A 13,599-nucleotide genomic window follows, 5' to 3' on the forward strand; every position below is an offset into this window, starting at 1 on the left:
CAAAGATCTGAACAGGATCAGATAGAGATATTTGCCTACAGACAAGTCCTTGGTTAAAAGACCGTGGAAATTGATTCTAGAACTATATATTATTTATGGCTTGTGGGACGCAGAAATGTGTTCTGGTTACCTGTGCAATAAACTGTACATACTTCTCATTTCAGAGTTGGAGTCAATCACTCTCTGTTGGCCTTTTTTGCTGTCTTTACAAAGTCATGGGTTAACGAACCCTACTGGGTACTTCTAACATGAGGTGTCTGGGCTGGGAGAGTCTTACTGGCAATTGATGTCAAGATTCTTCGTCCAGAGGCACAGAGCAGAAAGGTTCTTGGTCCACAGACACCTTAAAACAAGGCCACCCTGGCCAGGTTTATTCCCGTCTGGCGGCCTACACATTTCTTATATCCTGGAAAAACTGGTGAGCAAGCAAGTGTCGACCTCAGAGTCTCTGACAGGGCTATTTTGAAACCACACACCATGAAAACTCTCAGGGAAGTTAAAAAACAAACAATCATAACCAAGGCAGTTTAGCTGTTTTGAAAAGAGATGGAGCTTCATTACTTCAAACCCAAATTTCTGCAAGCCTGACAACCACCTTACATCAAAATAAACGTCTACCTGCTAGCTGAAATGTTTAAAAACACAGGTGAGCTCTATTCTCTGAAATACAAGCCTTCTCTAACCTGAGAAATGTAAATACCTATGAAGGTGGGTCCATGAAGGGGAGGTTGATGAGGATGGGCCTATGTAAGAGTGTGTGTCAAGGTTGTTACTTGTATTTGTGTTACCCTGTGGATGTGTGTGTGTGTGTGTTTGTGTGTGTGAGAGAGAGATTCAGAGCAGGAAGAGGAAGGCAACTCACATGGATCCATGTTTTTCGTAACACTGTGTGAAACTCCAGTTAATTGACTGTAAAAAAATAGGAACCCACAAGTAACTGACATTAGTACCGCTGAAAGGCTCCCAGAAGACCTAACTCTTGCTGGCTCCATAATCACAAGCACCTGCAAAGCTCTGCCTTGGTGAGGAGAGGGCAGAGCACACCTGCTAACCGACATCTGCCTGGAGGAAGGAAAGACAGAGCTTCAACCCTGAACACAGAGTGCTGGTCTCTCTTATGTGCTTGACTGTCATGCTCAGTTGCATTGTGCATGAGTCTGCCTGTCAGCCTGCACTGAATTTTGCAGCACTGTTCCAGGGTTTACTATCTGCACTCTGTTCCCAAAGACCTGTTGCCCCTACCTGTGTGCTCCCGGAGGAATCTGGTTTCTATAACAACAGACCCCATCACCAGCGTGGTGCACAAGGCCACCTGCCAATCCATTCTGATTAAGCCCAGCCCTCAGCCTGTCCCCTCCAGACCTGTCACACCAATTCCCATTCAGGCACCAGCACTGATCATCAGTATTTCCCAAGAGTGGAAAGGGGAAAATAGAGACTCAGTAAATATATGTAAATAAAAGCAGAGTTTTCGTAAGCCATTCTAATCTTGATATAGTTTGCATTTCCTTCACTGTTGCTTTATAAAAGCCCTCTTAAGCTTGCAGCAAGAAGAATAGGAAGTCAGCTGTCAATTAGCTTACTATGATGTTTTCTCAGTCATATTTTGAAAGAGAAGTTGAATTCAACATTTTCCAAAAATCTGCAAACAGCAGCATGCTGCATTTATGGAGATGACACCTTTTGTGGGTTTTTCTCTTTCATGGGTAGGATTTTTCGGAGAGACCACACTGGGAGAAGAGAATAGGTGAGGAGTTGCTCTGTGAGCTTGCTGCAATCTGGAAGGAATAAAGTTGCAGAAATAGGAAATTGGAAGCAGAAATAGGATATAGGAAAGTCTTAAGGACTACGATTTTTGTATTGCAACTAGATTCACCTTTGCAGCCATCCTTTTAACAAGACAAGCCACTCAACTAATACATGCTCTGAAGGAGCGAACAGAACTGACTAAACTAATACAGAAGCAGGGGCTCAGTGGCTGCAGGTTGCATGAAAAATTACCCATTGCAGTTGCAGGGCCCCATTGTGAGCACCGGTCCTCTAGGAGAATGCTGGGCTACTTCTTTCTTTACCAATTGTTGCTAAGAGCAGGTGACCTCACATGCTGTTTTAGCAACTCTTACTACTGAGAATTATTCTCTTGGGAAGTTCAGAAGCTGGCAAAATAAATCTTTGTATTCACTCTGCTTATATTCTGACAACACTGACTAAAATCCTCTACTTTGAAAAGGAAATATTCTTCCCAGGCAAATGCAACTGATGAAATAGATTCTCTGTGTGTGGATTTGAAGGTGTTAAAGTAATGATACTAATTGCTTTCATTTTGATAAGCTTTACAGGCTCCAGAGTTCTCTCACGAGTTCCATTTCATTTGATATTTGCAGTTACCATGTGAGGTAAGCAGAGCTGACCTTGACTGGCATCTCTATCAGCAGCTCAGTGGGATTAAATGGCTTGCCAATGTCACAAGGTGAGAAGTTGACACGAATTGCAATGCAAATATTCTGGCAAATAAGTTAGCAGGCTTTCTATTCTACCATTCTGCTCAACTTAAAAAATAATCCTGTGGATTTTTAAAACTGTAATGGCCACTCATGCACAAGCCCCTGGAATATTCACAGGCTGATGAAAGCAATCTATTTTGGTGATTCAGGGAATATTGAGCTGCTGGTTTTGAGCAAAAGCAGCTGATGCAAATAAGCATGATATATTCATATATTCATCCATTTGAAAGAAATCTGATGGCAGGAATTTTCTCCCAACAAAGCAGATTCTAGGATGTGCAAGCATCTGTACACACGCATGTCATTCTCTGCAACCTCCATGCTTATAGGAGACTCCTTGAGCATTAAGACTTGACAGAATCTTAGAGGTAATTTTATTCAACTTCATGCTACAGGGGAGGAAAGCAGGTTCAGAGAGCAGCGTTTGCCCAGGTCACACAGTTTATAGTTGTCAGACGTAGGACAAGACCCCAGACCTTCAGATATCACACTCAGTTCAGAGTGATTCTTCTGAGTCCCTGGGAGGTTCCAAGTTACTACAGTACCACTAAATTACATTCAATGCAGTATTTAAGCAGATGAGGCCTTTTAGCAGGATTTAGAGCAACAAAGGCTGAAATCAAAGGCCTTTGATTAGCTTAAAGTTGTTCTGACAGTGGATCTCTCCAGAGTATGGGCTCACTGGAAATCAGTGTCCTACAGCCTCAGCATTGGAGTGTGAAGCTGGAGTTGGCTGATGCTTGGTGTGGTGTGATGGTTGGGATAGGATTTGGCTCTGTGATCCTGTGCTTTCTACATGGCTTAGTTTATCAGCCAGAGCACAGTGTGAGTCCCAGAAAACCTGGCCAAAACAATCCTAACCCATGTAGCAAGGGGCTACGGTATTTATTCAGGGGCTTTCTCAGAAGGCTTTCCAAATAGTCCATTGGAAGGTCTATTTTCAAACCTCAGTCCAAGACCAAACCACTTAGAGTTATGTCAGCAGCTTTGCCCTAGGTGTCCCTGAGCTGTTGTCAGCAGGTTTCTAAAAGAATCACACTAGCTTGGGACTCGCACTGTGTCTCTGAAGGAAAGTCCTGAGAGGAGGGTCAATAAGAAACTTTCCCTTACATCTCTGCATCAGGAAATTTATCAAAGTAGGGTTGAGGGATGCTTCTATGGTGTAGCAGATACTGTGTGGTGTGCTGTCCTGACCCATCTCAGGACAAAAGCACATACCCTCCCAGATGCTGGGAATGTGGCCTGCTGATGGCCCATAGCTGAGTTTCACCCCAGGGATTGTCCTTGATCAAAGGTTGCTGCCTCAAGATTGCAATGCCTTCCCTGGGAATAGCCTGCATCTGACCACAAGTCAATGTAGGGGTACAAAAGTTTGGCCCCTTTGCTCAATTTGGGCCATCTTTGAAGGACTACCCCAGCTCCACAGCTCCCTGGGGGTTGGGCTGAGGCCTCTGTGCTACTGCCTCAGAGTGCAACTCTCCATCAGTTCAAGCCTTCACCACCCACCCTTTTACAGATGTTGTTTCGCCACAGCACTCCCCAGTAAACACCTGCGTGCAAATCTTTGTCCCAGAATCTTTTTCCCAGGGACCTTGACATACCACAGACACACAGACATGCACACACTCAGACATATTCTCTTTTGCCTTCTTTAGTGCCAGCATCTTGTCACCTGATGGAGAATACTCTATCAACAACTACATATCAAATGTCTGCAATGATCTTTTCTATCCAAACAGCTAAAGAAATCTGTATTCCTTTCCTATGGCTGCTGTAACAAATGACAACAAACTTGGCGGCTTCAAACAACACACATTTATGCTGTCATAGTTCTGGAGGCCAGAAGTCCAACATCATCATTTTTACTAGGCCAACATCAAGGTGTCAGCAGGGCTGGGCTCCTCTGGAAGCTCTAGGGGAAAATGCAGTTTCTTGCCTTTTCCAGCTTTTAGAGCTGAATTCTTTGCATTTCTTGGCTTGTGGTCCCTTCCTCCATCTTCAAAGCCAGCAGCGTAATGTCTTGCTTCAGTGGTTATGCTACCTTCTCCTTCTGTGTCAAATCTCTCTCGGCCTCTGCTTTGTAAGGACATTTATGATTGCATTTAAGACCCACCTGGATAATGCAGGCTAACCTCCCCATCTCAAGACCCTTATCTAATCACACCTGCAAAGCCTCCTGCCATATAAGGAAACAATCACAGGTTCTAGGGATTAGGACCTGGAGATCCTTGTGGGCCATTATTTAGCCTACCATGGAATAATAGAGCAAGTTCTGAGACATATACATTGTGATTTCAATCTGTAGTTTATCTTCACCCCAAAGTGAGGTAGCCTCAGAATCTTCTTTTTGCCATCCATTTGCTATTGTCCCAGGCAAACTGGTCTCAGCTGGGATGTCTACTTCTTGATTTAGGCCTTTATTAAGAAACACCAGTAATTGTTACATTTTTACCTGCTGCTGCTAGAACCCCTCTCTCTGTCTCCCTCCCTAACCCTGCCGGGTGGCTGCCTTTCTACCCCCTCTACTCACCAGATTGTATCTGCACTCACTGAGTGACCCTGTTGTCTATGTGGGAATAACACTGTGGCCACACTATGGCATTGGGCGGGGGGCAGGGTGCAGGTGGAAGAGGAGAATAGAATAGTGTTTTAAGCCTAATCAGCAGATTCCTGTGTCACTTCCTTAAAGGATTCTCTGTCAGTAGCAATTTGGGATGATACCGCGTGACCCTTCAGAATGGAATTGGAATGGCTGATCTTCACATACTCATTGACCAGAAATAAGACCAAGAAATCTGCAATCTCATTTTTTCCCACCCCCAATTATCTATTTTTTAAAAAGTTGTATTGATTGGTTGAAAAGTCTTTTTTTTTTTGAGAGATAGAGAGAGAGAAAGAGAGAGAGAGAGAGAGGGTCTCACTCTGTCACCCAGGCTGGAGTACAGTGACGCAGTCATGGCTCACTGCAGCCTCGACCTCCTGAGCTCAAGTGATCCTCCCAGCTCAGCCTCCCAAGAAGCTGAGATCACAGGCCAATGCCACCATGCCCAGCTAATTTTCTGTAGAGATACGGTCTCACTTTTTTGCCTAGGCTGGTCTCGAACTCCTGGGCTCAAGTGATTCTCCCACCTGGGCCTCCCAAAGTGCTGGGATTACAGATGTGAGCCATCATGCCCAGCCTCCTACCCCCCATTCTTTTAGCTTGTTGTTTCTACCTCCTCTCTGGACCATATGGCTTGATCTACATATTTGTCTCCCCCACTAGAATGTGAGCTCCTTTCTTCATCTTTCTGCTCCAATGTAGCAACTACCAAGGGGCCACCTGACAGAACATGGCCGCTGCAGAGGAACCCTGCTACCTGCAGTTGGTGACATGGCCTAGGTCCCAGAGGCCTCGTGGTGCCACACACACAAGAACAGGCACCAACAACCAGTGACATTTTGACAGTCAAATGGAACCTGTGACTGCCATCTGTAGATGTGCCAGCCAAGAATGTGACCCTGGGGAAAGCCCTTCACACAGGTCTTTCCTTGGTGTATTTATATTTAGTTCCAGCGAAAAACTGCAGTTGTTTTTCTCAGTGACAGGCATCAAACGATAACCGAAAAGAATGAGAAATAATTGTTCCCTTTCTCCCTGTTAGGAGATTGTACTCTTTGAATTTGGGACCACAGCTCTCTGAACAGCTAGCTCTCCCATGCCTGGCTCATGAGACATCATAAATGTTGATTGTATTAAAGACAATTTAGAGGGAAAGGACTTGAATTCTGGTTCTAAGCTATTAAAAATATTTCTACATTTTAATTTTTAAATTAAGAAAGATTTTGTACATATGGAAAGGTGCAGAATATAAAACAGACAACCATATGCTTACCATCCAGATTAAACAACTGTTAACGTTTTCTCGTATTTACTTCAGATCACTTGAAACAAAAGAAAGACAAAAAGATACGGCTAAAGCCTTGGCCCCCTTCACTCACATCCCTCCCCTCCTCCCCTCTGCAGAGCAACTTCTGCCTGAAGCTGGTGTGTGTCATTTCCATGCATGATCTTGTGCTTTCAGTACATATTTGTATATCCAAAACAATATTTACTATTGTTTTGTGTGCATTCTTAATTTACATAAATGGCATCATATTGTAAATTCTCTTGCAACTTGGCTTTTCTTACTCAACAGTACATTTTAGGGACTTATTTATGTTGTGTGGATACAGTGTAGACCTAGTTCATTCATTTTAACTTAATTGTGAAATACCATAGTTTACTTATCCATTTCCCTATTGGGTAAAATTAGTTATTGCTTTATTGTCGTTGTTGTTTATTGCAATGAACATGCCTGTGCATGCATCTTTGTGCACGTGTTTGTTAGTGTAAATGCCCTGAAGTGAAATTGCTAATTAGTAGGAAATATACTTCTGCACCTTCCTTAGCAGAGACAAATTGTTCTCCCAAGTGGTTGTACCTATTTGAACTCATGCTAGATTAGAAATCCCTGTGTTCCTACATCCTTACCATCATTTGTGAGGCTTTCAATTTTTCTTATCCAATAAGTACAAATGACATTTTATTTTTTTAATTCACATCTCTCTAATTATTCATGAGCTTAAGCATTTTTACATGTTTACTAACCAGTTGTGTATGTGCATGTGTGTGCATGTGAGAGAGAGAGAGAAATAGGTTTTAATCCTTTGTTCTTTTCTTATAAATTTATAGTTGTATTTATTCTGAAGTTCTTATCTGAGTTGAAAAGTGTTCTCACAAATGGTATCTTGCCTTTTAATTTTGTTTATGTCATGTTCTATTATAAATAGCTTTTTAATTTTCATGTAGTTAAATTTATATGTCTTTTCAAGGTTTGTGGGCATTTGTCCCTTAGTTAATAAATCTGTTTCTAACTCTACATTCAAGATATTCTCCCACATTGTTTTCTAAAAATTCTAAATTTTTTTTCCCTTCACATTTAAATTTTTGTCCATCTGGAATTTACTTTTGCTTATGTGATGAGTAGGGATCTAATTTTATCTTTTTCCAAGCAGAAAGTTAATTGTCAAGGATGATCCAGACTTTCCCGCTGTTTGAAATGTCATTTCTGGTGTTTTTTTTTTTTTTTTTTTTAGATGGAGTTTTGCTCTTGTCACCCAGGCTGGAGTGCAGTGGTGTAATCTCGGCTCACGGCAACCTCTGCCTCCCAGGTTCAAACGATTCTCCTGCCTCAGCCTCCTGAGTATCTGGGATTATAGGCGCACGCCACCACGCTCAGCTGATGTTTTGTATTTTTAGTAGAGATGGGGTTTTGTCATGTTGGGCAGGCTGGTCTCAAACTCCTGACCTCAGGTGATCCGCCCACCTCGGCCTCCCAAAGTGCTGGGATTACAGGTGAGAGCCACCGCGCCTGGCTGAAATATCATTTCTGTTAAATACAAATTCCCATATATAAGTGGATCAGTTCCTAGACTCTACCATTCTGTTGGTTCATTTGTCTATCCCCACACCCATACCAGAATTTTAACATTATTATAGCTAAAGAGCAAGTCTTAATAGCTGGTGTGGTGTTTGCCCTTATTTTTTTTGTTTTAGCTCACATTTGTTTTTGTTTTCATTAGTCTTTCCTCTTCCAGTATTTTAGGATCTGATTGTGGATTCCTGTGAAAAATGCTATTGGAATTGATAAAGGAAGTGTACCTAAATAGGTTAATTTGGAAAAATTTTGCCACTTGTACTATAGTTATCTATGGTAAATGTGATATATCTCTCTATTTAGGCCTCCTTTTTATATTTATATCATTTAATATGGATTTATAATTTTTTCTGTAAATATTTATACATTTTTATTACCCATATTATGAGGTATTTATAGTGCTTGCTACAACTGTAAATAGCAGCTTCTGAAAAATGATATTTTCTCACAATTTATTGTAGATGTTCGGGGACCATCTTAAAAATCAGTTTTTAATTAGGTAACTTGTTGAATTTCCTTATTCCTTTCAATAGTTGGCTGTTACTTATTTTGAATTTTTTAAACTAGATAATCATAGCATCTAAAATCATAGGTGGGAATTGAACAATGAGATCACATGGACACAGGAAGGGGAACATCACACTCTGGGGACTGTTGTGGGGTGGGGGGAGGGGGAGGGGTAGCATTGGGAGATATACCTAATGCTAGATGACGAGTTAGTGGGTGCAGCGCACCAGCATGGCACATGTATACGTATGTAACTAACCTGCACAATGTGCACATGTACCCTAAAACTTTATAATAATAAAAAAAAATTAAAAAAAATTAATAATACTGTGGCTCACGCCTGTAATCCCAACACTTTGGGAGGCTGCAGCGGGCAGATCACCTGAGGTCAGGAGTTCGAGACCAGCCTGGCCAACCTGGTGAAACCCAGTCTCCACTAAAAATACAAAAATCAGCCAGGCATGGTGGCAGGCACCTGTAGTCCCAACTACTTGGGAGACTGTGGCAGGAGAATTGCTTGAACCCAGGAGGCAGAGGTTGCAGTGAGCCAAGATCACCCCACTGCACTCTAGCCTGGGCAAAAGAGCGAAACTCCGTCTCAAAAAAAACCACCCACACGAAACAAAAAACAAATAAACAAGTCCCAAAAAACAAAACAAAACAAAACAAAACAAAATTAATGATACTTTTATTTCTTCCTTTTGAATCTTGCTTTATTGTATTTCTTTACTTGTTATCACTTTACTGAATAGGACTTACAAAGCAATGCTAAATAAGGGCTTTTGATAGTAGGCATCCTTCCCTTATTCCTGAACTTAACTGGAATTATTTTAGAGATTCACAAAGCATAACTTTCACTGTAGATTTGTAGTAGATCACTTTATTGGGTTATTATTTTTATTTCTAACATGCTAAAATATTTTGGTTATTAATGGGTATTGAATTTTATCAAATGCATTTTCTGCATCTTTTGAAGTGATCATATTTTGTTCTTCTTTATTGTGTCTGTGTAGTAAACTACCGTAATGACTTTTCTATTGTTAAACTTTTACTTCTTAAGTAATCCAGCTTTGTCATAATGTAATATTTTTAAACACTACTAGTTTCAGTTTGCTAATATTTGATTTCAAAATGTCACGTTTATAAGTGACATCAGCCTGCACTTTTCCTCTTCTGTATTGTCTTTTTCAGTTTTTGTTTTCAATGTTATATTAATATCATATAATGGGTTGAAAAACTTTCAATCTTTTCTTTTTTCTGTATCAGATTATACAAAATAGAAATCAAATTTTTCTTGAAACTTGGGGAAAACTTACCTGCAAAACTATCTGAGGTAACAGCTATTTTTTTTGTGACTAAATTTTTAATTATTGATGAAATATTTAAGGCCATAGGTTTATTCAGCTTTTTTATTTTTTAGTTACATTTTCTAGAAATGTTTTTATCTAAAAGTTAAATATTAGTGGCATAAAGTCATATATAGCAGTCTCATGTTTTTGTAAATGTGTGTTACATCTATTGTTACATATTTTTCTTTCCCAGTATGGTTCATTTGTACCATTTTTCTTTTTCTTCTAATCTTAGACCTTCGTTGGCCATCTCAGTTGCTTAATTGTTTTCTATTTCACTAATTTTTGCCCATATCTGTGTCTTCTTTCCTTTGTATTTTCTTACATTAACAGTTTTTTTTTTGCTGACTTCTTGGATTGATTACATGTGTTCATTAGTTATCAACCTTTCTTCTTTTCAGGTGTGTGTATGTGTGTATGTATATCTACAATTTTCTCTCTAAACTATTGCTTTAGCTACATCTCCAAAATTTCTATGTTCTGTTTTCCCTTTGTCATTCAGGTCTATTTTAAAAATCTCCATTATGATTTCTACTTTGACTCATTAATTATATAGAAATGTTTCAAAATTTCCAAACATATGGTTCCTTTTTTGGTTTCATTTTTGTAATTTATTTTCAGTTTAATAGCGTGTGAAAAGGGAATGCGGTCTGTAGGATTGATTCATTTTTTATTTTTAGATACTTTTTTGTGGCCAAGTATGTGGTCATCCAAAAATAAGTTCAATGTGTATTCTCTAATTGTTAAGTACAGAAATGTTATGCTCGAGTTATTAAAAATGTTATTTCAAATTTTGGTATGTTTACTAATTATTTTGTTTGCTTGTGCTATTTAGTATTGAGCATTGTATTAAAATATCTTATTGCGGCTGTGGATTGCTTGACTTTTTTGTGATTCTGGTCATTTGTGGTTTATATATTTTGAGACTACATTCTTAAAAGTCTACAATCTTGGAAGTTTTAGATCTTCATGTGGAACGGTGCCTTGCCTACCTGTATGATTATACCTCCGTTGTCTTTAACTCTTCTTCCTCTTGGAACTAAGTCAGGTCCAGGGGGACCTTGATGCCATTGCTTATGCCCCATTCCCGCTGCTCTTGGATTGAGGGTTTTTGTTTTGTTTTGTTTTGTTTGTTTTGTTTTGTTTTGTTTTGTTTTTGAGACAGAGTCTCACTCTGTGGCCCAGGCTGGAGTGCAGTGGCACAATCATGGCTTACTGCAGCCTCACACTCCTTGGCTCAAGCGATCCTTCTGCCTCAGCCTCCCAAAGTGCTGGGATTACAGGCATGAACCACCACACTTGACTGGATGAAGTTCCACAGCCCACTTTTGAGAAGCTGGTTTTGCTAACTTTGCTCCAGGATACCCTTTATGCTGCCACCCATGCACTGCCTTGCTCCATGTCCACTGCTGTAAGGGAGCGTTTCCACTTATTTTGTGATTCAACTTTTAGCCATCTCCAAGCTTTGTTAAAATTAGAGATTGAATTTTATTTTTCATTCTTCTTGGTGCTTTTGGATGCTTTCCATGAAACACCAATTTTTGCTGGCATCTTCACACTGGAATTTTGACATGAAGCCTAGAGTTAATCAATATCTTTGCCCTCCTGCTGGACATTACCATAGTACCTATTCATTCTGGTCACTCCTTCTTGAATCACATGCTCTCTTTGCCTAGCATGTTAGTGATACCTCATTTTTATAACCCCAAACTAGTCACCATTATATTGTTTTGGGATCAATGCCTGTTTAGATTTGCCTTTGTATTTAATATTTACCAGTCTCTGCTCCTCTTTGCTTCTCACTTCCTGTGCCTTCTCCCAGAGAAACGGAGCTTTTGGAATTCTTTCAGCAGGGAACTGTGAGTAGTAATTTATTTAAATCTGTGCTTGCTTGCCTGATGATGTCCTTATTTTGCTCTCAGTCTTGAATTTTAGTTTAGCTGAGAATAGAATTCTAGGGTGTCAGTTATTTTTCCTCAGCACTTTGAAGTTGTCTCATTACTTGTTTCTATTGTTGCTATGAAGAAATCAGCTGGCAGTTTAATTTACAGTTTTACAAACTTTGTTTGATTTTACATTCATATAAGTAAAACCAACTTTGTGCTCATCCTCTAGAATAAGTATTTTACACCTAAATTTATCTATGTATTAATGTACTAATATGTACATAATACAACATATGTAAAATAAAAAAAATGACTACGTATATGAAAAAGTTTTAAAATCAAAATAAAAAGCATTTGCTTTTGCTAAATTGTTATTAGTTATAATTAATAATATTTTAAAGAGTTAAATGTAGATATTAATGCTTCATTGATTTTAAAATATCTTGATTTAACATTTAATTTGACACTGCTTTAACATAAAGCAATAGGAAGATCTGGGTTTATGTTTGGCTTATTTTGATGCTGGTTTCAGTGGCAATAATTGCCAATAACAAAAAGTTTAATTACCTCACAAAGGCGTGTGAATACAAATAAGAAAAGCAATAGCTGCACTTACTAAGTCATGATGCTTATTTTTTAAAATCCCATTTACCAACTGTACCAACGTTTTTCTTTAAAGTCAGCTATTATATTTCTGTTTCCCTTTATGTCAATCAATTCTTGTGACAAACAATTTGGAATTTGTTGCATTTTTACATATTTAAAAAATGTGTTCAACCCACTAAAACTCTGAAACATTTAGAAGCATTATAGACAGATTAGAAAATTCTGTTTCTAAATTTTTTTGTGTTTTTTTTTTGCAAATATGAAAAAATGCTCAACATCACTAATGATCAGGGAAATATAAATCAAAACCACATTGTGATATCACCTTTCTCCTGCAAGAATAGCTATTAAAAAAAAAAAGATGTTGGCGTGGATGTAGGGAAAAGGGAACACTTCTACACTGCTGGTGGGAATGTAAACTAGTACAACCAATATGGAAAACAGTGTGGAGATTCCTTAAAGAATTAAAAGTAGATCTACCACTTGAATCAGCAATCTCGCTACTGGGTATCTACCCAGAGGAAAAGAAGTCATTATTTGTAAAAGATATTTGCACACACGTCTACAGCAGCACAATTCGCAACTGCAAAAATATGGAACCAGCCCAAATGCCCATCAAGCAACGAATGGTTAAAGAAGTTATGGTGAATACTACTCAGCCATAAAAAGGAACAAATTAATGGCATTCTCAGCGACCTGGATGGAACTGGAGACTATTTTTCTAAATGAAGTAACCCAGGAATGGAAAACCAAACATTGTACGCTCTCACTCGTAAGTGGGAGCTAAGCTATGAGGATGCAAAAGCATATGAATGATACAATGGATTTTGGGGACTTGGGGAAAAGGGTGGGAGGGGGTTGAGGGATAAAATAATACAAATTGGGTGTAGTGTATACTGCTTAGGTGATGGATGCACCACAATCTCACAAATCACCACTAAATGACTTACTCATGTAACCAAACACCACCTGTTCTTTAAAAACCTATGGAAATAAAACATTTTAAGAAATATATGCAAACATGAGGCCTGTGACATCCTTACATTGTTTTGGTGACCAAAAAAAACCACATAATTATGGAAAATGTTTGACATCCCTAACAGCAGGAACTACTTTTGTTAAGTTTCTGTGTCACTTTAGGCAAAATGCTTCCATTCTGTGTACCAGTTTTCCTCATGTGAAAAACAAGAGGGCTGGCAGATGAGTTCTGAATGTCCTACCAGCCCTAAGGTGCTCAGATGCATTCCTAACCTGCCCTAGCAGAGCCCAGCAGAAAACACAGGCTCTT

The 13,599-nt window shown here is 39.3% G+C and overlaps 1 long non-coding RNA gene across 1 annotated transcript in view; it reads left to right on the plus strand.

Moving 5' to 3' along the window:
* The window catches only part of XLOC_008559 (uncharacterized LOC105378427), a 44,833-nt gene extending 35,776 nt beyond the window's left edge, over positions 1–9,057 (plus strand). The window contains exons 4-6 of the long non-coding RNA NR_131214.1: positions 2,385–2,470; positions 7,623–7,647; positions 9,001–9,057. This is a non-coding gene — a long non-coding RNA (uncharacterized LOC105378427). The remainder of the gene's footprint in view (positions 1–2,384; positions 2,471–7,622; positions 7,648–9,000) is intronic.
* Positions 9,058–13,599: the final 4,542 nt, after the last annotated feature.

Source organism: Homo sapiens, chromosome 10, assembly GCF_000001405.40.
Source record: "Homo sapiens chromosome 10, GRCh38.p14 Primary Assembly".
NCBI lineage: Eukaryota > Metazoa > Chordata > Mammalia > Primates > Hominidae > Homo > Homo sapiens.